This window comes from Homo sapiens, chromosome 4, assembly GCF_000001405.40.
Source record: "Homo sapiens chromosome 4, GRCh38.p14 Primary Assembly".
Classification (NCBI taxonomy): domain Eukaryota; kingdom Metazoa; phylum Chordata; class Mammalia; order Primates; family Hominidae; genus Homo; species Homo sapiens.
In genome coordinates, this window is record NC_000004.12 from 76,356,151 (window position 1) to 76,382,599 (window position 26,449).

The 26,449-nt window shown below is 40.1% G+C and overlaps 1 protein-coding gene and 1 pseudogene across 15 annotated transcripts in view, besides 1 other annotated feature; both read right to left on the bottom strand.

The window, feature by feature from the left end:
- CCDC158 (coiled-coil domain containing 158) overlaps positions 1–26,449 on the bottom strand; it is a 108,831-nt gene that overhangs the window by 43,112 nt on the left and 39,270 nt on the right. For 14 of the 15 annotated variants that reach the window (XR_938729.3, XR_938730.3, XM_011531911.2 and 11 more), the window contains 6 exons: positions 23,140–23,254; positions 15,267–15,386; positions 13,276–13,473; positions 11,144–11,626; positions 5,976–6,165; positions 1,224–1,376 (listed from right to left, as the gene is read on the bottom strand). Coding sequence is in view for 13 of the 15 variants with exons in the window: in XM_011531911.2 (XP_011530213.1) it covers positions 1,224–1,376; positions 5,976–6,165; positions 11,144–11,626; positions 13,276–13,473; positions 15,267–15,386; positions 23,140–23,254 (1,259 nt within the window). In the remaining 2 variants the exon portion in view is untranslated. The remainder of the gene's footprint in view (positions 1–1,223; positions 1,377–5,975; positions 6,166–11,143; positions 11,627–13,275; positions 13,474–15,266; positions 15,387–23,139; positions 23,255–26,449) is intronic. The other variant, XM_011531915.3, reaches the window with a different exon arrangement.
- Positions 460–565, bottom strand: RNU6-1000P (RNA, U6 small nuclear 1000, pseudogene; annotated as a pseudogene).
- Positions 24,424–24,928: an enhancer, noted in NCBI's record as "H3K27ac hESC enhancer chr4:77301727-77302231 (GRCh37/hg19 assembly coordinates)". NCBI's record gives its function as "activates a minimal SCP1, AML or CMV promoter by ChIP-STARR-seq in primed H9 embryonic stem cells {active_cell/tissue: H9 hESC(primed)}" and the evidence as "EXISTENCE:reporter gene assay evidence [ECO:0000049][PMID:30033119]".

Below are 26,449 nucleotides of genomic sequence, written 5' to 3' on the forward strand. Positions count from 1 at the left end.
ATACCATTCATTATAAACAAGCTATCAGAATGAAAGGTCTGACTTCTCATTAACAAGATACAGTTCTTCTATCTAAACTGTCAAAACAGGGTTAAACTGACACTGTATATTGATTTATTAATAGGGTAAAAGTCTGACATCATTTGCTCACCACTTTGAAGAATTATGGTCTGATTAAGTGGATCATGGTTGGCCTTGAAAGGAAATTTTCTAAAACAAATGTTTTTTTTTTTATTTTAAGCTGATTTAATAAATAGAAACAAGAATTTGAATGAGAACACAAGGGTTCTCTAGGTAACTTAATAATTGTAATGTCCCTGGGGTGGTTGTGAAGATGCCCAACAGTGAGGCTGGGTTGCTGTCTGGGGAGCAGGGGCAGCAGACCCCAAAAGACCTCTCGAGTGACTTCTCCAAACCCAACAAGTTTATCTGTGTTAACCAGCAAAGGGCCAAACCACACAAAATATGAAACACATCAAGAATTTGTGGTCGTCCTTGCACAGAGACTATGGTAATCTTCTTTATATCGTTCTAATTTTAGTATAAGTGCGGCCAAAGCGAGCACAAAAATAAATCTTCTGACATTAAAAAATATTGAGAAATGGAAAAGTATATACTTTAATTAGATAAATATTAATTTTTATGGTCAGCTAATATGGTCATGTCAACAATTATATGAATAACATGAACTGGAAGATAACCTCTTTATCTCTCTGCATTAGTATGGGCAGCAAGGTAAAAGGGGAATAAATCTGGGTGGTGAGAAGGTCCCCTCACCTAACAATTCAATTTCCAGGATTCCTTCCCATTTTTATCACGGTGAAGCAATCAAGAACTGCCAACTAGCCAGGGACCTACAGTTTATATAGTGTACATGTTGAAAAATAAAGGATTGAATGGAAATTACAGGTAACTTGTATTTATATCCTTAAAAATAATTACTTGACGTTAATAGATACTGAGATCTGTTAGAAATTACTGAAATAGCCACTAGAAAGGAAAGATTCAGATAGTTTAGGGATTAAATTAACTCCATGGCAATTTCCTAAAAACAATTAACTACTGCTACATAACCTCCATCATTAATACCTACTATTGTATATTTCTTACATCATTTAGCACTGTGAAGAGGTGGTAGGTAACGTATTTGAGTTTCTGTTTTAACAAATTTAGTCCATTAAATTAAAAACAGAAGAAAAAATTTTAAATCTAACAGAGCATACCATGACCATCAGATCCTTCCATTGACTTTAATGTATTTCTTGTCTGTTCTAGTTCAGACTGTGCAGATTTTAATTGCATTTTCAACTTATTTGTAGTCATTTCCATTTCTTCACTTTTGTTTCGGAAATTCCTTTTTAAGACTTCATACTCCTCTATACAATGTGATAATCAATAATAGATGGTTACTTTTTTCTATCCCATTGTTAATTAAGTATATTTTATTTGTAATTAATGATCACAGAATTTTAGAACTGGAAGAGAAGTCATTTAATTACATCTTCCTTTGTTACAGAAATGAGATGTACATACACAATTCCAGGGATATGACCCTTTCTTTTTAATCTGCTTGGGTGGATCCTATTCCTCCTCTACCCACTTATTACTCATTGTTTTTTCCCAAACATTATAATTAGTTTGCAGTTATCTCATCTTAAACCTTCTTCTTGGATGACCGTGTTCACTAGAGTAGATTTAACCACCATCTGCTGGTAGATGAATCTCCATGACACTATAAGTAACCTGAGGCTGCCATCTGTCTTATCTGACTTATCTCCAGTATCTGTGAAAATACTTGGCACAAACTCATCATTTGATATACTACAATACACACATGTGTGCACACACACACACACACACATATTTATTTATATGTATCTATTTATATGATTAGATTTATATAGAAAAGGATCAAAGCTCCAGCTCCATTTGTCCAGACATCTCCATGTAGATGTCCTCGTGCCACCTGAAACCAACTGCCTCACAGTGCCTACATCTCATCCTCCAGCCCTCAAGCCTGCCTTTCCTTCTGGTTCCCTCTCCCAGTTGCTTACATTGCTTTTCCAATACCACAAACTAAAATCCTGAAACCTACACTTAATCCCTCCAACCACTAAGTGCTGTTGATTTAACCTCCAAAAATATCCTTAATTCTTTCCTTCCATTCTCACTGCCACTGCCTTAATTCAAGTCCTCATTCTATTTATCTGGGACGACTGCAAAAATCCTCCTTAACTGCTTGGTCTGCTTTTCTTTTCTCTAATTTACTTACTGACACAGTCCATCTAAAATCTGACAAAAAATCTCCTACTTAATATCTTTTGTGGGCTCCACATTACCCGGCTCTACCTATCTATTCTGCCTTATTTCTTAGCCCTCATTCGTTTCACTTTTGCTCCAGCTAATACTTCTGAGGTCACATTTTGATATTTCATGGCTTCATGCATTTGCCCATAATGTTCTCTCTGCCTGGAATGTCCCTTGCACCCCTTTTTCACCTGCTGAATTCCTTTTCCTCTTTCAAACCCAGTACAGATGTCACTTCCTACAGGAGGTAAATTCTGTATCCTCTGTGCTATCTTTGTACTCAATACACTTTCACTGTGCCTCACACACTGGTTATTCACCCATTTCTATCTAGGTTTATCTCCCTACTAGACTGTGAGCTTCATTGTGGGGTTTCCAGGTTCTACCACAGTGTCTTGCATAGTAAATGCTCAGTAACTTCTGACTTTATGAAGTACATGATACTTCATACCATACTAATATGCTTTGGCTCTGTGTTCTGACCCAAATCGCATGTCCTGTTGTAATTCTTAGTGTTGGAGGAGGGGCTTCGTGGGAGGTGATTGGATCATGGGGAAGGATTTCCCCCTTGCTGTTCTTGTGACAGTGTGTGAGTTCTCATGAGATCTGGTTGTTTGAAAGTGTGTAGCACCTCCCTCTTCTCTCTCTCTCTCTCTCTCTACTGCTACCATGTGAAGATGTGCTTGTTTCCCCTTCACCTTCCACCATGATTATGTTTTCTGAGACCTCCCAGCCATGCTTCCTGTGCAGCCTGCAGAACTGTGAGTCAATTAAACCTCTTTTCTTCACAAATTACTCATTCTCAGGTAGTTCTTTATAGCAATGCAAAAATGAACTAATACAGAAAAATGGTACCAGAGAGGTAGGATACTGCTCTACAGATACCTGAAAATATGAAAGCAGCTTTGCAAGTGGGTAACAGATACAGGTTGTAACAGTTTGGAGAGATCAGAAGAAGACAGGAAGATGTGGGAAAGTTTGGAACTTCCTAGAAACTTGTTAAATTGTTGTGACCAGAATGCTGACAGTGATATGAACAATGAAGTCCAGGCTGAAGAAGTCTCAGATGGAGATGAGGAACTTACTGGGAAATGAAGTAAAGATCATTCTTGCTATGCTTTAGCAAAGAGACTGGCAGCATTGTGCCCCTGCTCTAGGAATCTGTGGAACTTTGAACTTGAGAGAGATGATTTAGGGTATCTGGCAGAAGAAATTTCTAAGCAGCAAAGTGTTCAAGATGTGGCCTGGCTGCTCCTAAAAGCCTGTGCTCATTTGCATTAAAAAAGAAATAACCTGAAGCTAGAATTTATATTTAAAAGGGAAGTAGAGCATAAAAGTTTGGAAAATTTGCATCCCAACCATGCAGTTGAAAAGAAAAATCCATTTTCTAGGGAGAAATTCAAGGCTGCAGAAATTTGCTAAGTAAAGAGGAGCCAAATGTTCATAGCTAAGACAATGGGGAAAATGTCTCCAGGTCATTTCAGAGACTTTCTCAGAAGCCACTCCCCTCACTGGCCTGGAGGCCTAGAAGGGAAAAATGGTTTAGTGAACCAGATCCAGAGCCCTGCTGCACTGTGCAGCCTTGGGACATGGTGCCCTGCATTTCAGCTGCTCCAGTTCCAACTCTGGTTAACAGGGGCCAAGGTACAGCTCAGGCTGTTGCTTCAGAGTGCAAGCCCCAAGCCTTGGCAGCTTCCATGTGATGTTGGGGCTGTGGGTGCACAGAGGGCAAGAGTTGAGGCTTGGGAGCCTCCACTTAGATTTCAGAGGATATATGGAAATGCCTGGATGTCCAGGCAGAAGTCTGCTGCAGGAGCAGAGCCCTCATGGAGAACCTCTACTAGGGTAGTGCAGAGGGGAAATGTGGGGTTGGGGCCCCCACACAGAGTCTGCACTGGAGCACTGCCCAGTGGAGCTGTGAGAAGAGGGCCACTGTCCTCCAGACCCCAGAATGGTAGATCCACTGACAGCTTGCACTATGTGCCTGGAAAAGTCATAGGCACTCAGTGCCAGCCCATGAAAGCAGCCATGGGGGCTGTACCCTGCAGAGTCACAGAGGCAGAGCTGCCCAAGGTTTTGGAAGCCCACCCCTTACATCAGCATGCCCTGAATGTGAGACATGGAGTCAAAGGAGATTATTTCAAAGCTTAGAAATTTAATGACTGCCCTGCTGGGTTTCAGACTTGCATGGGCCCTGTAGCCTCTTTGCTTTGGCCAATTTATCTCTTTTGGAACAGGAACATCTACCCAGTGCCTGTACCCTCCATGTATCTTGGAAGTAATTAACTTGTTTTTTATTTTATAGGCTCATAGGTAGAAGTGATTTGCCTTGTCTCAGATGAGACTTTGGACTTGGACTTTTGAGTTAATGCTGGAATGAGTTAAGACTTTGGGGGACCATTGGGAAGGCATGATTGTGTTTTGAAATGTAAGAAGGACATAAGATTTGGGACGGCCCAGGGGCAGAATGATATGGTTTGGCTCAGTGTCCCAACTCAAATCTCATGTCCTGTTGTAATTCCCAGTGTTGGAGGAGGGGCCTTGTGGAAGGTGACTGGATCATGGGGGCGGATTTCCCCTTTGCTGTTCTCATGACAGTGAGTGAGTTCTCATGCGATCTGGTTGTTTCAAAGTGTGTAGCACCTCCCCCTTTGTGTGCTCTCTCTCTGTCTCTCTCTCTCCTGTTGCCATGTGAATATGTGCTTGCTTCTCCTTCATCTTCCACGATTTTAAGTTTCCTGAGGCCTCCAAGCCATGCTTTCTGTACAGCCTGCAGAACTGTGAGTCAATTAAACCTCTTTTCTTTATCAATTACCCAGTCTGGGCTGGGTGGGGTGGCTCATGCCTGTAATCCCAGCACTTTGGGAGGCTGAGGCAGGTGGATCACGAGGTCAGGAGATCGAGACCATCCTGGCTAACACAGTGAAACCCTATCTCTACTAAAAATACAAAAAATTAGCCAGGCGTGGTGGTGGGCGCCTGTAGTCCCAGCTACTTGGGAGGCTGAGGCAGGAGAATGGCATGAACCCGGGAGGCGGAGCTTGCAGTGAGCTGAGATCACGCCACTGCACTCCAACCTGGTGGACAGAGTGAGACTCTGTCTCAAAAATAAATAAATAAAATAAATTATCCAGTCTGAGGTAGTTCTTTACAGCAATGCGAGAAGGGACTAATACACATACCAACCATAAACTGGAGTGTTTCACTGTTTAATATAAGGCCATGGATTTTTCCTGTCAATAAATTCACATGTCTATTTTCACATGTCACTTCATTAGTAAACTTCTAATCAAGCTATTTGACTCCAAGGACTCAAGGTTTTCCACTTTCATAAACACAAAACTGTGCAGACAATGTGATTTATGTGAACACCTGTTTTCCTTTTGGAAGCCTGGACTCTGGACACCTCACACTTCTCTTAGAAATTCAGTACAGAATTTCCAGTACACTGAGGGCTGACTAAAGTTAAGGTCAGTAAGTGTAAGATGTGGGAACTCTTCATGAAAACTATGAGATTTCATGCTATGAATAACTCCATGGGGGCAGCATAACTATTCATGTTTGTCATGTGAGTGAGACACCCTTCTTTTGCAATTGTGCTAGGGTCTACATTGGCTTCACTGCTAAGACTCTTATTTTTTAGTAGGATTTGTGCTGAAGCAACATACCTGAAAGATTGTTTAATTCACTCCTACTTGTTTTCACCTCATTTAATAATTGATCTCTCTCTTGTTTGATGTCCTTCACTGCACGGAGCCGCTCAGAGCCTGCATTCACCAGCTTCACCTTTTCCAGCTCCAAGTCACTCACTCTGGCCTCAAGCTCCCGGATCTTTGCATCTTTTTTATCTTTTAATATCTAAATATATGGATAAATACAAAGGATAGAGAAGTAAAAAATATGTACATGTATAGTTATAATTGATAGCTGCTAACACAGTCCTAAAATCTGACAACAGTCTCCTACTTAATATCCTTTTCTGCCTCCTATCTGTATTCCATCTATATTTATTATCTTTTCATTACTTCCCAGGACACTAAATTTGTATTTTATTATAAAGCATCAATAGAAAGTGGGAAAATATTTCACTTTCTTTTAACCTTAGATGTCAATTCCTAGTATTGCTTGCAACAACCCTTCATTATTCCTATTCTATCTCCATTCACTCAAAAAATACATATTAAGAACCTTCTTTGTGGCAGGAACTATTTTACAAGCAAGGGATATAGAAGCAGGGCTATGACTAGGGTAATGCAAGTGAAGCAGCTAGGTGAGGGCCTCTAACCTGGGCACCTCAGTTACCTCACCCTAGTCCTGGCCCTGGATAGCAATAAACAAAACAATGTCTTTGTCTTCATGTCCTCCTCTAGTAAGAAGAGAAGAAAACAAACAAATATTTAATATGTCAGGTAAGAGAAGTGGCAAGAATAATAATAAAAGCAGGTGAGGGGTACAGAATGAATGCAAGGGAGGGGTTGCTACTTGAGGTAAGCTGGTGTGCAGAAAGAGTTCACATAGCAGGTTTGGGTGCTCTCCTCAAAAAGGCCGCTTACAAGGTTGGCCCTTGACTGTCGTCTGGGAACTTGGATTTTGGGAGGGTTCCCACCACCCTAATAAGAGTGGCTCAGTGTGCCTAAACTGTTTGTGCAAACAATGTGTTCATGCTGAACCCCTGCTTTCCTTCTGGGAACGTGGAATCTGGATACCTGCCAGGTAGAGGGGCCTATGGGACCAAACTCCAATATAAAAACCCGGGCACTGAGGCTTTAATGAGCTTCTCTGGTTAGCAGCACTTGACAGATGTTGTCACGGTGTCTTGCTGGGGCAGGGGGTGGAGTAGGAAGTAAGCATGTCCTGCATAACTCTACTCGGAGAAGGCTCTTGGAAGCTCATGCCTGGCTTTCTCTGGATTTTGCCCCGTGTGCCTTTTCCTTTTGCTGATTTTGCTTTGTATCCTTTCACTGTAATAAATCCTAGCCTTGTGTATGATTATATGCTGAGTCTGGCGAGTCCTCCTAGGGAATCATCAAACCTGGGGTCGGTCTTGGGGACCCTGCCACAGTTGGCAAGGAAAGGCCTCTCTGATGATGTAACATCTAAGCAGATGCTCCTTGTGCTCCTGAGCATAAGGACAAGACACGTGGACAGTCTGGGAAGAGCTCTGTGTACAGGTAACGTGTCTGGGGAAGAGCAGGGACATCAGTAGGGCTGGAGTGAAGTGAGCTTGGGGTAAGCAGGAGATGAAGTCAGAGAGGGGCCAAGGGAATGATCAGGTTGCTCAGAGGCAATGTAAGAACTTGAGCATGCATTGTGAGTGAGTCAGGAAGTCATTGGACAGTTTTGAGTATGAGAGTGATGTAGTGTAACAATTTAAAAATACAACTCTGGCTCTGGTATGAAGGAAAACAGTGGTTGGCGTGGGGGTAGGGGGAGAAGCATGGAGACCAGTGAGAAGGCAACTGGAAGAGCAAACAAGAGAGGTGGGAGCTTAGACTGGGGTGGTTTGTGGTGGTGAAAGTATCTGGTCCTTTGACTAGGGTAGGGAATGTGAATATGGCAACTCTAATTCGGCGTTTCCAACTAACTGTCAGAAACCCCCAGCATGGCATGCTTCTGCAAACTCTGACTCAAACATTCCTATTCCTTCTTCACAGAGGGCCTTCCCCTACAATCCTTTCTGACTCTTCTCTGTTAGAGGCACTACCATGTTGCCAGTCTAAGTTTGAACTCACAAAGTCACCATGTCTTTCCCTGTCCCTCGCCCCTCATACCCAATTGTTGATCAAATCCTGCCCAACCTGCAGGTCTGGACTGCCATCACTTTGCATATGGATTGCCACAGTGCCTCCTAACTGGTCTCTATCTGTGTTGGTAAGGCTTCCTAGGAGGACCCCTCTCTTCCCAGGGTGTAGGTCTGTGTCGTCTAACACAATACCTGCACATGACTCTGGAGCACCTGGAATGTGGCCAAACTAAGTTATGTGCTGTAAGTGTGAAATATACACCAGATTTCAAAGACTTTGTATAAAAATAGAATATAAAATATCTTGGTGATCTGTTGTATTGATTATAATATTAAAAACACTATATTTTGAATATGAGTTAAATAAAATGTTATTAAAATTAATTTCACATTTCTTTTATGTGTCTACTAGAAAACTTAAAATTATATATGTCACTTACACTGTATTTCTGGTGGACAGAACTGACCTAGATCCTTCCGAATAAGTGACATTTGAAAAAAATATTGACTTTCTTTGGTCATCAGATTGTTTCCCCAAATTATCGCCCTACTGGCCTTAGTATCCTGGCAGATGCAATTTGACTGCTATAGCAGCAGTTTAACTGTGGAGACCAATGATACATCTGAAATATAGCCACATGACAAGCTTTTGGCTGTTCAAAAAGGATTGGTGGGGAGCCCCAGGCTTGTCTCACTGCCCGCCTGTGATGGGTTTGGGCAGTAAAGGCCCTAATCTGGGCTATCTGATCTCTGCCTAGCCACTCCTGGCAACTGTCACACTAAATCCAGCTGACCTCATGCAGTAAGGGACGGGGAGGGCTTTCCCTGGGACAACCTGAGGCATCACAACACACATAGGACGAGTGCTGCTCCTGTTCCACCTCTTGAGGCCAGCTGATAGAATTCAGTCCTTTCTTAGTCTTATTATTTATTTGTTTTTAAGAAAGGTCTAGCTCTGGGGACCCACAGTTATTGAAATAAAAGTCACTCTGCTTCTCTGCTGTCAATGTGTGCAGTACCCACTCTGAAGAGGGGACAGAAACCAGGAGAGAAACCATACCTTCTACAGCTATGATTCCCCCACCTTTTTTTCTTATCAGATCACAGAGGGAAGTGGATGTGGCATTAGGACTTGAGTTTTAAACTTATGTTCTTTGTGTCTGTGTGAAACTCTAATTACCTAGGAAATTATTCCCTGAAGCTGCTCCAGCTCCATATTTAGGAACTGAAAATTAGTTTTACTCTCTCCAAGCCACTTCTGCATACTGATGCCAGATTAATCCACTTCCAACACTGTCTTCTTCATGTTACCCCCTCCTTCCTACCCCTAAACCTTTAATGTCTCCCACACCATCTCTAGGCTAAATTACAGACTAGGCTTCTTCCCGGGCTTGGAATGCCATCCTTCCTTCTCTTTGCCTAGTTTTTGCCCATTTCAGGTTCCCAGCTCTCTCTGAAGCTTTCACTGGCCCTCTAGTCAGGAGCTCCACATTCCTTTGAGGCACTAACACAGATCCTGATGGATGCTCTCAGGACCAGCAGTATCCACGTCATCTGGCAACTTGTTCAGAAACACCAAATCTCACACCCCATCCTAGACCTACTGAGTCAGAAACTCTGGGAGCAGGCCAGCAGTCCATGCTTTAAAAAGCCCTCCAGGCGATTCCGGTTCTCACTGAGAACCACTGCACAGTAACATCTACTTAGGCTGCCTAGGTTCAAACCACAAGGTAGTGCTGCTCTCCAGAAAGTTAAACTCTCTGTGTCTCAGTTTCCTCAGCTGTAAAATGGGATAATAATAGTGCCTCCCTCATAAGGTTTTGTGAGGATTAAATTGATTTAAGTTTTAGAGTATAAGAGTGGGATTCTCCTGTTTAGAACCTTAACACACTAGCAATCCACTAGTGATCTTCCTAAGCAAGGTAGAACAACCATCCTTTCTCCTCTGATATGCTCTGCCCTGCATCACACCTGTTCTAAGGGTTTCATTGTAGGGCTGGCCATTGAGAATCCTTTCTATGTCCCTTTTCATGGTGAGTTTGGCCATTTAAAAATGTATATAATCAGGTAAAAACTTAAGCAATAGAAAATTCTATTTTTAATGCAATGAACTTGTTTATTTCCATAAGATGGATAATTATCTATTGCTGGCCCTATTTTTAGAAGGAGGAAACTGAAGCATCTACAGTATATGTGATTTGTCTCCTACTACTCACCAAGTCAGAGATAAAGGTGACATTAATCCTATGAAATCAATTTTTTTAAAAAACCCATTAAATTGTGTTAAATTTTGATAAGTATTTATCGAGCACCTTCTGGGTGCAAGGCACAAAAATATGGGGCAGGAGGTACAAAGGCTAATAAGATGTGTACCCTGGTTGAAGAAGTCTACAATCTTGTAGGGAAAAGGAGACACTGCTACATAAACACACACACAAACACACACACACACACACACGGCAATATAGAATGTGAACCAGGTTTTAACAGGTACAAATAAAGTATGAGAAAGTTCAGAAGGAGACCAAAACAGGGGAAAGAAACTAATATTTATTAAATTTTAAATTATTAAGTTATTTAAATTTTAAATTATTAAATAGCCAGAAACTATTAATAGGCTCATTCCTTGATATATACTTTCTGATTTAAGCCTCACAGTAACCCAACAGGTTGTTGGGAGTTTTTTGTTTTGTTTACTTTTTGGTTTGGTTTTGTTTATCAGATATCGAAGCCAAGATTCAGCAAACAGTCCAATGTTTCACTGTAACTAAGTAGTGAGAGACGGGGTTCAAATTTAGGTCTGTCTGAAGAGGGAGAAAATACTTTCCTGTGGTATCAGGAAAGACTTCATAGATTTTCTGATCTTTTTTCTTTTGTACCCGTGATTTTGAGCCATTTTCGAGTCATCCATTCCTTCTATAATCTGATAAAAGTATTTATCCTTTCTCACAAAAACACACATATACACATAGAAACAAACACCTTCCAACAGTTTCAGAGTGTCCACAGATACCAAGAACCACTTTTCAGTACAGGTCATACCTGCTAATAAATGATATTTCAGAAGTTAAATCACAAAAAAACTCTACAGACCTTAAGTTCCTTTAGTTCCATCCGCCTATCATTAATTTCTTTCTCCAGTTGAGCTTTTTCTACTTGCATAGCTCCAGCAGTTCGTCCATGCTGGCCCACCAGCTGTGTCATGTTCTCAATCTGCTGTCGCAGAATCTCGATCACCTTGTCCTTCTCTGTCATCTGCAGTTTGAGGGCCTCACATTCTGTCTGCACATTTCTGAGATGATCCCCTTCATTTTTCAAGTGTTGCAGCTCCTGCAATTTCAAGTCCACCCGGGAGCGGAGCTTTGTGATCTCTGCATTGGTAGCCTCGATGGCTCTCTCTTTTTCCTGGAGAGAAGTTGTCAGGTCCGATATTGTCCTCTCTGAGCTCTCCAGAGTCATTTTCTTGGCTGTCAACTCTTCTACTACTTTGCGCAGCATCTCTTTGGTGGATTCAAGCTGAGCAGTCAAGGAGGATACTTTTTCTAGACTTTCATTCTTTCCTTGAATTGCTGCCATCTGATTGTTAAAGAAAAGAGAATTTCATAGATTTGGGAGGATAGGTATAGGCAACCTCAAGAGATACAAGTTAACTTAAAAGCATGAAATCATGAATTAGGCAATGTTTAGTAAGATCTTTTTTTTTTTTTTTAAGAGATGGGGGTCTCACTGTGTTCCCTAGGTTGGTCTTCTCAAATTCCCAGCCTCAAATGATCTCCTGCTTCGGCCTCCCAAAGTGCTGGGATTTCAGGGATGAGCCACTGTACCCAGCCATGTCTAGTTAAATTAACTCAATCATTTTGCTGTCAGAACTCTAGCTCTTATAACATATGTAAGACTGACATATGCTAATTAGACCAAGGTGGAGAGGGCTTAATTAAATAATAACGCTCCTCCACAACGGTGTTCTAGAGTGCAGTCTTGGGAAGTTTCCTCTGTGGATGTTTTCTGTACTGATTTAGATTAAGATAACCCTGGCAATGGGGGGAAGGGTGGCGGAATTTACAATAACTACCCCTTATTTTTAATTTCCCTCCAACTTTACCTTTAATTCTACCTCTGAGGAAAAAAATGAATAATGGCTTTTATCCACACACACATTCATATTCTCTGATCCTTGTTTGGAAAAGCTGAAAATTCTAACTTCCAGTTGGTCCTTTCATCTTTCTTCTTGCCCAGGTTAAGCCAGAGAGTAGGTTAATGGCTTTGCCTGGGTCTAAGCCAAGACCAGTCCCTTGGTTTGCTTTCACATTCTGAGAAGCTTACACTTTTGTGGGATGCTTTTTATGTCCCTGTGGCAGTAACTGGCATTAGAACCATGTCTTCCTAGCACAGAAAGTACACTGCTATTAAGAAGGCAGTCCACGTTTTGCTACTGGAGGGTGCACCGGAATGGAATGCACTCATCAGTCTCAATCAGTGATGAGACTTGGGGAAAGAGAGGCAAGTCTCTTTTGGGAGAAAAATAAAGCAAAAAAATCTGTTAGAAACCTTCAACCCTGTTGCTTCTCAGGCTGCCCAATAATTTGATGCTTCTCTGCAGCAGAAATAAGCAATTATTAGGTTACCAATTTTTAGGTAAACGTGAAAAGGCAATGGGATAAGAGTTTAGTTCTTCAACAATGTACAAGTGAGATAAAGCTTGACACATTTAGTTTAATTAGTGTCTATATATAGGCCGGGCGCAGTGGCTCACGCCTGTAATCTCAGCACCTTGGGAGGCTGAGGTGGGCAGATCATGAGGTCATGAGATCGAGACCATCCTGGCTAACATGGTGAAACCCCATCTCTACTAAAACTACAAAAAATTAGCTGGGCATGGTGGCACACGCCTGTAATCCCAGCTACTTGGGAGGCTGAGGTAGGAGAATTGCTTGAATCCGGGAGGTGGAGGTTGCAGTGAGCCGAGATCGCGCCACTGCACTCCAGCCTGGGTGACAGAGGAAGACGCCATCTAAAAATAAATAAATAAATAAATAAACAAAAAATGAAATAAAATGAAAAATAAGTATCAGGTTTTCATAAATTGCTCACAGAATCCATAGCTTTATTTTAGGAGCCATTTTAGGTCCATATATGTTAAAAATAAAAAGCTCTATTTAGACATAAAATATTTATTTCCCCAGAGGAGATTGTTTGGCGATGGCACAGCCTGTGCAGGCACTGACCTGCCGCTCCATCTGGCCCTGACACTCGCTCTTCAAGGCCTTGAGCAGGGCTTCCAGGCGCTGCACCTCCATGTTCCGGTTGTCCAGTTCCCGCCGCAGGTGGTCAATGGTGATGCTGTTGCCTGTGTCTCGGTCCCACAGACGCTTATTCTGCTCCTTCTCCAGACTCAGCTCCTTCTCCCTTTTGTGTAGATCAGCCTAAAAAAAGAGAGGAATGCTTTTTTCCTCCCTGCTATTAAATAATTAAGATAAAACATATTGTCTTTATATCATATTTGGAGTTTTTATGTGATTTCAGACACCTTTGATTTTGGAATCTGATTCCTTTTTAATGGCTTAAGAGCAATTATTTCCAAGAAAAATAAGTTAACATTTTGCTTAAAATTTCTAGCATTACTAGTCTATCTCGAGGGACTAGACCTCAAATAATATACAATGAAAAGGAAAATACAGTAGATTTTAAAAGTCATCCTGTTTTTAAGTCTTGCATTTTCTAAGAAAGACATTATGTCTCACATCAGGTATGCTCCTATAATAAAGAAATGCTCAAAAGCATGAAGGAAAAATGATAAGTAAAGGAAAAATGATAAGTAATGGAGAGATGGCAGAATAGTGGCTGGTACTGGAATTGGAGTAGCATCTGGGCTGTGAATAGAATTACCTCCCTTTTCAGTCACTTAAAAAATACATAGTGTTGAATAGGAGCAAAAACTCTAGTCAGACTAGTAAAAACAAAGATATATCTACACTCAAATGACTTAGGATCCAAGAGAAAGTTAAGACATAGACATAAGTAACTGGAAGTGGTTTTTCATTAAAGGAACAAAGATAAGGAATAGCAGACAGAATCTCACTAAAGGGATCAAAATGCTTCAGGATAGTATTTGAGTTAGACCTGAAGATGTAGAGATTAGGAAGAAGGGACAGGAAAGGGGCCTGTGTGTTTGCTTGGTGCACTGGGTCCGGGTAGAGAGAAAGGATTGGAAAGGTTAGCAGGGTGATGGATCATGAACAGTATTGAAAGGGAGGGTGTCTGACTTTATGGAGAAAGTAATTTTGAGTTGAACAGTGACATCATCGGAGCTACATTTTAGAGAGATGTATGCGGCAGCCCTTTACAGGAAGGAGTGAAGAGGAGAAAAACTGGAGTTGGGAACATCAGTAAGGAGACTGCCATGCTTCAGGCAATGAGTAATGAGGGGTTGAACGAGAGGTGGTGATGGTAAGAATGAAAAGGGAGGCCAGGTTTGAGGATCTTTCAGACATTCAGTCTCCAAGATTTTCAAATTAGATAGGAGAACACTGAAAAACATGCAAATGTTAGGTAAAGAACTGAAGAATTATGCCAAGATTAAGAGCTTCTCTACACAGCTCTCAGTTCTATCCTTACCTCAGCTCATCAAACCCTTGTCAGCCTGCAAAGGATGGCTTTACCAGCAAAGAGCACCATTCCCTGGAATGGGGTTTGGTAAGCCGAGAAATTTATTCTGTTATACCACTAATACCGCAAAAGGGGATTCCAAACATTTCCTTTCCTAAATTTCTCATCCTATAGTTCCTCTAACAGAGGACAGAGTGGCTTCATTATGAGCACAATCATACTGTCCTTTTCTTTTAAAACAACTTCACCTAACCGTCCATTCCAAATTTCTATATACACAATTTTTATGTGTTTTGAATGTTATTTGGCCTTAAAATGAACGTGTAACACTACTTCAATTTAATGGAATATGGTATCTACTTGAAAGACTATGGCTATGTCAAGATCTCCTTCACCTAATACTGTAATAGCTCTGCTTAAGAAAAAAGTTAAGTATACAGAATATCATATTTTATATGCAAAACTTGAATTGTGTCTAAAATAATCTATTGCATGTATGCACAAATATTTTGTAAATTTGTAATTTTATAAAGGAAACGAGTTTTGTGATATATTTCAGTGAAAAACTTCCCAGAATTAGTCTTATTCATATTTTAAAGCATAATCTTACCAACAGCTTTTGAAGTTGATCATCTAAATTTCCAGATTCCTGACTGAATTGATCACGCTCTGTCCGGGCTTCAGTTAGCTCTGAGTTGGCAAGGACTAACTGCTTTTCCAGCTCTTCTGTCTGAAAGGAAAGTACAAATTGAACAGTGTCTGATTATGACAGTGGGTAATATAAAATAAATATAGACTTTGGAAAACAAATGGTATTATTTTGAGAACAAAAATAAAAGTTCGTTGTGAGGCTGGGTGCAGTGGCTCATGCCTGTAATCCCAGCACTTTGGGAGGCCGAGGCGGGTGGATCACCTGAGGTCAGGATTTTGAGACCAGCCTGGCCAACATGGCAAAATCCCGTCTCTACTAAAAATACAAAAATTGGCCAGGCATGGTAGTGGGCGCCTGTAATCCCAGCTACTTGGGAGGCTGAGACAAGAGAATCGCTTGGACCCGGGAGGCAGAGGTTGCAGTGAGTCAAGATCGTGCCATTGCACTTCAGCCTGGGTGACAAAAGTGAAACTACATCTCCAAAAAAAAAAAAAAAAAGTGTATTGTGATGTGTCTTGTAAAGTTTTTTTTTTTTTTAAAGAAAATCTATGCTGAGTTTAGCCAGGGAAATTAGACAAAATGAAATATTTAGTACTGTTGAATTTGGGAATTGCCTGTAATACATCTGTCTCCTGTTTTCATACTATTCAAGATTTATCTTCTGTGAAGACATGTTCTATAATTTGGTATTTAAGAAAGCTTGAGGGTTGGCACAATGGCCCATGCCTGTAATCCTTTGGGAGGCCAAGGCAGGAGGATCCCTTGAGCCCAGGAGTTCAAGACCAACCTAGGCAACACAGGGAGACCCCATCACTACAAAAAATATTTTTTTAAAGGTTAGCTGGCCATGGTGGTGCACACCTGGGGTCCCAGCTACTTGGGAGGCTGAAGTGGGAAGACTGCTTGAGACTGGGTGGTTAAGGCTGCAGTGAGCCATGATTGTGTCCCTGCACTCCAGCCTGGGTGACAGAGCAAAACTGTTTCAAAAAAAGGAAGCTTGATATGGCATAAACAACATGCTGCAGAGCCTAAATAAATGAACTGTATTGTACTTAGAAGAGCTATTTTGCTTCAGAATATCAAAGTTTCGGTAATAAAAGGCATTGAATATAAAAGAATGAATGGTAACAAGTTATTAGCTATTGTCATTATTTTATAGCCACTACTTTTTTAAAGGATGAATTTATATATATTTATATTTACAGTAGGACAATTTATTTAACCATTCTAACCCTCATTTTGTTCAACTATTAATATAAAATGGGAATAAAAGTACCAATTTTAGAGGATGTTAAAGTGCATTTTATTCTGACAAGGCAGCTGTTTGATCTGTTTGAATATGCATTTCTATGACACATGCCATAAAGTGCATGACTGTTAATAGCGTTTCTATAGTTCTTTTTTTTTTGAAATGGAATCTCGCCCTGTCGCCCAGGCTGGAGTGCAATGGCACGATCTCGGCTCACTGCAACCTCCGCCTCCTGGGTTCAAATGATTCTCCTGCCTCAGCCTCCCAAGTAGCTGGGATTATAGGTGCCCGCCACCATGGCCAGCTAATTTTTGTATTTTTAGTAGAGATGGGGTTTCGCCATGTTGGCCAGGCTGGTCTCGAACTCCTGGCCTCAGGTGATCCACCCGCCTCAGCCTCCCAAAGTGCTGGGATTACAGGCGTGAGCCACCGCGCCCGGCCTCTATAGTTCTTTATGTCTAGGTTCAGCGTATGCTAAGAGGCTAGGATCTCAGACTGTGGAGACTAAGGGTTTAGATTTTAGCTGAGCCACACAATATCATAACTTAAATAATAAGATATTAAAACAATGAGAACGTGTTGATACTTAGTTATATGGTGATATCTTAACTTTAAGTAGGTATCTACATTACTATTTTATCATCTACTTTCTAGTAATAGGAAATCTTTCATGTCTGCATAAATGGTGCATATTCCTTCTTAGCTTTAAGGTGGCTATTTAGTAGGTTTCCAATCTACTGTCAATAATAAAACCTGGTTTGGATGATGTACTATGATAAAACTTTCTTAACTAGAGAACATATGACTAAGACTAACTTTTTCTTGAGAACTTTCTAGTTTTACTATTTACTATTTATTTTTAAAGATCTTCACTTATTCAACACATATTGAATTATATTATCTATACATACATACACACATCTCTCTTTAATAATAATCATAAGGAATAGAAGTTATATATATATCCACATATACATATATGACTAAGAAAGTACTAATATAGGACTATCAGTTTCCCATTTACCTACAGAAATCAGAGTATAGACTTTAATATTTATATTGGCTATATTCCTAAACTGACTTTGTATCTGGCTGCATGCTATGTATAAAAAGTATTTCACCAGAATTAAGTACACGTAAAATATTAGATCACTGTCTAAAATGTATTCCTAGACTCTATTAATCTAATAAAGAAGTACTTTCCAGGAGACTGAGGTGGGAGGATCACTTGAGGCCAGGAGTTCGAGACCAGCCTGGGCAGCATAGTGAGACCCCATCTCTACAAAAATAAAAATAAAATTAGCCTGGCATGGTGGTGCATGCCTGTAGTTTTGGCTAGTCAGGAGGCTGAGGTGGGAGGATCGCTTGAGCCTGGGAGTTTGAAGCTGTAATGAGTCATGTTCGTGCCACTGCACTCCAGCCTTGGCAACAGAGTGAGACACTCTCTTAAAAAAACAAAAAAGTACTTCTTGTGCTCCTTTTGGGGCATATACAGGAAAAGAAATGAAAAAGTCCCATAAAAATTCAAGCTCTGTAACACAGGTTACTTCCTAAGAAAAATGAATGAACAATATCAATTGATAAAATCTCTTCACTTTTGTTATTATCAGGAAAGACTAAATCAGTACACACTTAGTAAATACAGTAAGGGGAAGAAACACAAACTTTACTGTTACACAATTATGTTTGCCTGGCAAGGAATGGGTACATGAACATGATCCGAGGGGCAATATGATCAGGCGAAGAGCCAAACACCTTAGGTTCTTGTCTAGTTTCTGTTACATAACTTCCCTGTGTTTCCATTTTTTTCATCTGTAATTGGAAAGAGTATTCTAGACGATCTCTCATGTTCCTTTCAATTCTAATACTTTATTCCACAAGAACAGTATTAATAAAGCTGAAACAATTTATTCTCCACCTGTCTTTTGAGCTATAAATTTAACAAGAACATTTCCAATTTGAATTAATCATATGATTAAAATAAATGTTTTCTACTCCTAGCCTGGCATAAACCATTTCTATCCTTGAGCAAAGAAAATAATTTGTATATATGCTTTAAAAGCTTAAATTAAGATTTTCTCTTTTGTCTGCTTTCACTTAAAAAAAAAAAACTTCTGGATAATCATTTCATAACATCAAACTTGACATGAGACCAAATTAAAAAAAGAAAGAAAAAGAAACGAGCCAAGTCTTATCTTTCCATCTGTCTATTAAGTATAAGAAGTTCCTCCAGCCCCCTGCAGGAACATTTGTTTTGTAGTTGTCAGTACTGACTCAGCTGCTATAGGTCTGCTTTTACCTTTCACTTTTTAGAGTAAAAACATTTATATTAATCAATCAAAAAGATAAATAGAGAGTGAAAGGGAAAACCATTGAAGTAGCAGCTGAGTTGATATAAACAGCTGTAAAAAACACTATAAAGAAAAGCCTTTTAAAATATCCAGAATAAATATTGACATCTGAGATGTATTAAAGATTTTTTCTTTTTCTTTTATTTTTACGTAGTAGCACTGGTTTTCCCTTTCACCATCTATGAATGCACTTTTTGGTTTGGATCACTGGACAAATGAGTATTGGGATTTCATTCTAATCTCACATTGATTTTAGAGATATTGCCAATCATATCAAATCACACGAGGTTTGGTTTGTCTGTTGGTGGTGGTGTTTTCTGTTTTTCTGTGCTCAAAAAGACACAGCTATGGAATAATAAGGGATGCTACAGGCCAGCATGGCGGTGCATTGGCAGAACTATGCAGAGGTTTGCACAGAATCTTCCTGCACAGTATATAGCTCCAGCCAGTGCTACTAAATCATCACTTTTTTAATACAAAATTCAGCCCCAACTGCTTTCAAAGTAGTAAAAATAAATGCTGAATCAACATCAGGAGATATTTTTGTTGTCAAAAAGCGAAAGTTAAGGGTAAAGCCAAATCTACAGAGCCAATAGTGACAGCTTCTACTGGTCCAAATTCGTAAAGGGGAATTCTGGAGGTTCTCCTAAAGTGGAAAGAGAAGAATAGAAAACAGCATTACAGTAAAACACTTTTGTAAGCTACGAAAGCTACATCTCACATTTTTTTGAAGTACAATTTCTATGTTCACCAGCATAAAATAACTGTGTTAATCTGAAGAGAAATATTAACTTCCAAAACAAGTTTTCTCTTAATTTATGCATTCTAGTTGGAAAAGTTTTGTTTAGACCTGTCATGTCATCAATTTTTAAAAATGAAAACACTTTTTAAAATGAAGAAATCTGACCTTGGGAGAAAATACTAATACTGCCCCTCATAAAACATGTTGATGTTTAATATCAACACACCTTTATTAGTTTCCTTTCACACAAATCTCACTTTTTTTTTTTTTCTGAGACAGGGTCACCCTCTATTGCCCAGGCTAAAGTGAGTGGTGTGATCATGGCTCATTGCAGCCTCAATCTCTCAGCCTCAAGCTATCCTCCCATCTTAGCCTTTCTAGTAGCGAGAACTACAGGCGCACGCTACCATGCCCAGCTAACTTTTTATTTTTGTTTTTATTTTTGTAGAGACAGAGTCCCACTATGTTGCCCAGGCTTGTCTCAAGCTCCTAGGCTCAAGTAATCCTTCTGTCTCAGCCTTCGAAAGTGCTGGGATTATGGGTGTAAGCCACTGCACCTGGCCATGAATCTCACTTTTAATCACAGCTTTTATGTATTATGTCCTTTGATATTTTTCCTTGTTGTTATTTGAATGGTATATACTGAAATATGCACTGAAGCAACAGAGAAAAAATAGATTTTAAGGTTTTAATAGGCTTTAGCAATGCCAAGTCATATGAAAATGAAAAATAAAGCAGAATAATTTGTGTTTTTAGATTTTATATTCAATTCATTATAACAAAAACATTTTATAACAATACAATTTTTTATGATCCCAAGTGAAATCCTTGTTATTAACTTGTTTGATTTTCCTTGCTCAGCTACACCATGTAATTAATGTCACCTTAGGCCAGAGTGTACTTAGCTATATTTACATGGCAGTCATCTCTCAGTGCTCCCTGACCAAACCAAAGGGAGTTACTGTTAAGACAGTCTAGTTAACCATCAACTAGGTGCCAACTCTATTTAGGGTCACTGTGGTGTATTATAAATCTCAGTGATTTATTAAAACTAATGAAGCTGATATGCCCTCCTTATTTCCGTTAGCTCTTTACTATTTAAGACTGTCAAAATTCTTGCTCAGCCACTATTTACATTAGAGCAAAATAAGAGAATGATTCTAATATCATGTTTGTATCTATATGACCCCAAAACATTCATGTAAAAAGCTTGCAGTCATTCATCTGGATCTCGTGCTTCTACAATGCCAAAGATTTAAATGCTTATAAAAACTTAGAAATTCTTTTTATACATTTTAGATGGACATTTCAGTATTTGTGAAAAAATTTCCCAATATGTCCAAATCAGCATGATACTGTATATTGGACCAAATGCAAATTAGCAAACAATGGGTGAGGCTTCTGAAAGGATAATTTTTCCAAACAACAGTATAATGGAAAGCTATAGCAGTTACCAATCATGTAAGAAACCACAGGTGAGTTGAGCTTTATTTAGTACTTTGCGGCTTTTCAAAAAGTTTGTCAATAGACAATGAGTACTTAATCTTTCCAAAATGATTTGTGATTATTCATGAATATGCATTATTATATTGGACTGTGACACAACAGCTCTCTTATTTCCTCTCTCATTGTCAGATTGTCAGCTCTCACTTCTGCCAGAGTGCCTACCTCCACTAGACCCAAGTGAAAAAGCACCCTCCCACCTCATGGTGCACTAAAATCAGCCCCTCCTGCTGTTGTCTGCAGGGTGCGGTCATGACCTTTTGGTATAGGCTTGGTCTGCCCAGACTGGGGTGGACATTCCTGCTATAAATCATCAGGGGAAAAGCTTGTCCTGAGAAAAGACACTAGAACATAAAAAGCAGGCTTCAGAGAGGCAGAGAAAAGCGTGTGTTCCTCTCTGACCTTTTGTTTGTTGAGTGTACCCTTTAAGCAGTCTAAGGTTGCTTAAGGTTGCTCAGAGGCGGCACTGGTTGAAATAACATTGCCACAAGGATTTAGGTTAAGGGTTATGCAAGGAGGTTTACAAAAGGAGGCAGTGTTATTCAAACGCAACCCCCCAATAAATTATGAAATCAATTTAGTGAGCTTCAAATAAGCATCTGAAGAGAACAGAAAATAGCTGGCATCACATGTAATAGGAGTAAATATTGTTTTATGAATCTTGCTTCAGTTGCATGTGTGTTGGATCATAAGATGAACTATATTTCTTACTTTGGAAGACACTGCTGTAAAGGACCCACATCTATAACTGAGATTATACAGTTTCATGTTACTCTCTATGGCTTAGACTTTAGTAAAGTCCTGTCTAAATTCCATCCTTATCTTAGCTTTGATAAATGTTGAGGTATCTTATTTCCATGCGCGAGCCAAGTAGAAACAGCCCCCTCCTGTGGCCGGCTGGAGTGATAGCGGTAATTAAAATGGGGTGCCCAAAGAAGGGCAAATGTCTGGAAGAATTCGTGCTGCAATATATGGAGCTTTCCTCCATGTACTGTTACCCTATAGAATTGGTTTCATTTTATAAAGGGAGTATGGCAGCTTCCTTATACTCTATTTCTTCTAACCTACTGCTCCAAATAGCTAAGGTGTGAGAAACTGACTACAAGTGACAGAACTGTATGTAAATTGTTTCTGCTTGGCTGTCTAAGGGTCTCTTATAGGTAGGATGACTAAATATAGACTTTATCTTCCAAATGGGGACACTATGGAGATGAGAGGTAGCATTCATAAAACAGGACACTGGGCTAGCGGGTGTAAACCGAGACTGTCCCAGGCAAGCCGCCTTGGGTGATCACCCTTCTCACAGGGAATGAAGACCACCACTCCTCTTAATGGCAGCTCCTTGTTTGTTTTTTAGGGTCTTACTGTTTTACAAATGGTTGAAATGAACAAAAGTCTAAACTCTGGATAAACAGATGACAATGATACTGAATAGCTTCTCTTTAGCTATGGAAAGTGAAAGAAAAAAACAGAATATCAAATATTAATGTGGTTTTAAAAGGAATTACATGATGATGAGAGATGACTTATCCTCCTAATTAATTTTTATGTAATTAATTCATTTAATTAATCTTAACATTAATTCAGTTTGGTAGCTTCACAATGATTAGGAGTTAGGAGTTGAAGTAAGAGAGGAGGTAGGCCCCAAAAATATTGAGTAGCAGGGGGATCTGGCTGGTATGGAAGTATTTGCTAAAGTTTAGCTAAGTAAAAATAATTAAGATGGTCTCATTTTTAATGCATTTTTTAGAAACTCACTTGAACTATGCAAAAAATTTTGCTAAGAATGAATCAGAGTACACAATTTAAATAAAAATAGTTTATAAATAGTTTAAAATATAATTTAGCATGCTCTTACTCCAGCTTATAAACTGCTTTTAATTTGAAATTACTTTGATTCCTTATTTTCAAATAAACTATTACTAATATAATATTGATTCTGGATATTAAAGTCTCTAGAAACAGACCAGCAAAACCTAAACTCACCTTGTCTTCATACATCCTTTTGGCTTCCCTTAATTCAGAACGTAGCTGAGAAACAGTAGATTCCAGATCGCTGAGCTGACGCATATACATAGAGTTTTGGTTTCTTGCTTGCTCTCTAAGAAGAGTTTAGAAGGGGAATAAGTGCAAATAGCAAACTAAGAATAAGAGTAACACCTGAGTATTCTAGCTTTTTGACACTACCACTAGTTATTTTATATGGCATTATTAAGCCAATAGTCTTTTATTTTCCAAAACTGACTCTCAAAAGTTTCACCTCAAATATATTGTAAACTGCTGAAGCTGGGTGACAGCTGTATGGGAGTGCATTACACTATTTTCTCTCTACTTTTGTATATGATAGAAAATGTCCATATAAAAAGTTTTAACATACAACTCAAATAAAATTATTTCTACACATATGCATACATTTTACTTATATATATTCATATATATTACACACACACACACACACACACACACACACACACACACGGTTTGGCTCTGTGTCCCCACCCAAATCTCATGTCAAATTGTAATCCCCACATGTCAGGGGAGGGACCTGGTGGGAGGTGATTGGACTGTGGGGGCAGATTTCCCCCATACTGTTCTCATGATAGTGAGTTCTCACAACATCTGATGGTTTAAAAGTATGGCACTTCCCCCCTTTCCTGCTCCGCCATGGTAAGATGTGTTTGCTTTCCCCATGATTGTAAGTTTCCTGAGGCCTCCTAGTCATGATTTGTTAAGCCTGTGGAACTGTGAGTCAACTAAACTTCTTTTCTTTATAAATTACCCAGTCTTGGATAGTTCTTTATAGTAGTGTAAGAATGGATTAATACAGAAAACTGGTACCAGGAGAGTGGGGCACTGCTATAAAGATATCTGAAAATGTGAAAGTGAATTTGGAACTAGGTAACAGGCAGAGGTTGGAACAGTTTGGAGGGATCAGAAGACAGAAAGACGAGGGAAAGTCTGGAACTTCCTAGAGACTTGTTGAATGGTTGTGACCAAAATGCTGATAGTGATATGGACAAAGAGTCCAGGCTGAGGTGGTCTCAGATGGAGATGAGGAACTTCTTGGGAACTGGAGTAAAGATCACTCTCACTATGCTTTAGCAAAGAGACTGGTAGCATTTTGCCCCTGCCCTAAAGATCTGTGGAACTTTGATCTAGACAGAGATGATTCAGGGTGTCGGGCAGAAGAAATTTCTAAGCAGCAAAGCATTCAAGATGTCACCTGACTGTTTCTGAAAGCATACAGTCATATATATTTACAAAGAGATGGTGTGAAATTGCAACTTCTATTTAAAAGGGAAGCACAGTGTAAAAGTTTGGAAAATTTGCAGCCTGACCATGTGGTAGAAAAGAAAAACCCATTTCCTGGGGAGAAATTCAAGCTGCCGGCTGCAGAAATTTGCATAAGAAGAGGTGCAAGACAATGGGGAAAATGTCTCCGGGGCATGTCAGAGATCTTTAGGCAGCCCCTTCCAACACAGGCCTTGTGACTTAGGAGGAAGAAATGGTTTTGTAAGCCAGGGCCCTCTCTATCGCTCTGTGCGTCCTCGGTACATGGCACCCTGTGTCCCAGCTGCTCCAGCTCCAGCCATGGCTAAAATGGGCCAAGGTACAGCTCGGGCTGTTGCTTCAAAGGGTGCAAGCCCCAAGACTAGGCAGCTTCCATGTGGTGTTGAGCCTGGAGGTGTACAGAAAGCAAGAGTTGAGGTTTGGAAACCTCTGCCTAGATTTCATAGCATGTATGGAAATGCCTGGATGTCCAGGCAGACATCTGCTGTAGGAGTAGAGCCCTCATGGGGAACCTCTACTAGGGTAATGTGGAGGGGAAATGTGGGGTTGGAACCCCCACACAGAGTCCCCACTGGGGCACTGCTTAGTGGAGCTGTGAGAAGAGGGCCACTACCCTCCAGACCCCAGAATGGTAGATCTACAGGCAGCTTGCACTGTGCACGTGGAAAAACTACAGGCACTCAGTGTAGCCTGTGAAAGCAGCTGCGGAGGCTGTACAATGCAGAGCAACAAGGGCAGAGCTGCCCAACGCCTTGGGAGCCCTGCCTTGCATCAGTGTGCCCTGGAAGTGAGACATGGAGTCAAAGGAGATTATTTCAGAGCTTTAAGATTTAATGACTGCACAGCTGGATTTTGGACTTGCATGGGGCCTGCAGCCCCTTTGTTTTGGCCTATTTTTCCCATTTGGAATAGGAGCATTTACCCAATGCCTGTAACCCAGTTGTATCTTGGAAATAACAAACTTGTTTTTTATTTTACAGGCTTATAGGTGGAACGGACTTATTTTGTCTCAGATGAGACTTTGGACTGAATTTCTGAGTTAATGCTTAAATGAGTTAAGACTAGGGGACTGTTGAGAAGGGATAATTATATTTTTTTTATTTTTGAGATGGAGTCTTGCTCTGTCGCCCAGGTTGGAGTGCAGTGGCGTGATCTTGGCTCACTGCAAGCTCTGCCTCCCGGGTTCATGCCATTCTCCTGCCTCAGCCTCCTGAGTAGCTGGGACTACAGGTGCCCACCACCATGCCCAGCTAATTTTTTGTATTTTTAGTGGAGACAGGGTTTCACCGTGTTAGCCAGGATGCTCTCGATCTCCTGACCTCGTGATCTGCCCGCCTCAGCCTCCCAAAGTGCTGGGAATATAGGCGTAAGCCACCATGCCCAGCCAATAATTGTATTTTAAAATGTGAGAAAGACATGATATTTGGGATATTACAAATCTGAATTGTAATCACCATGTGTCAGGGGAGGGGCCTTGTGGGAGGTAACTGGATCATGGGGACAGATTTCCCCCATGCTTTTCCCGTGATAGCGAGTGAGTTCTCATGAGATCTGATGATTTAAAAGTGTGGCACATCCCCATTCTCTCTCTCTCTTGCTTTGCCATGGTATGATGTGCTTGCTTCCCCTTTGTTTTCTGTCATAATTGTAAGTTTCCTGAGGCCTCCCACTCACGACTCCTGTTAAGCCTGTGGAACTAGGAGTCAATTAAATCTCTTTTCTTCATAAATTACCCAGTCTTGGTTAGTTCTTTATAGCAGTGTAAGAATGGACAAATATGAATACTTAAAACAGCCAATCCCAGGAGCCCCAAATACTTGCAAAAATACTTCTTATATGGTCAGATAACAGTACCTATGTTACATAATACTTCCTGTTCATTTAAATGTTAGAAAAATGTTTCACTTTCTTATGAAATCTTACTAAGCAAGTTCTAAAAGATTATAGAACAGAAAGTTAATGAGAATAATATCTTTAAAATGAAGATGAATGACTAACAGTTTCA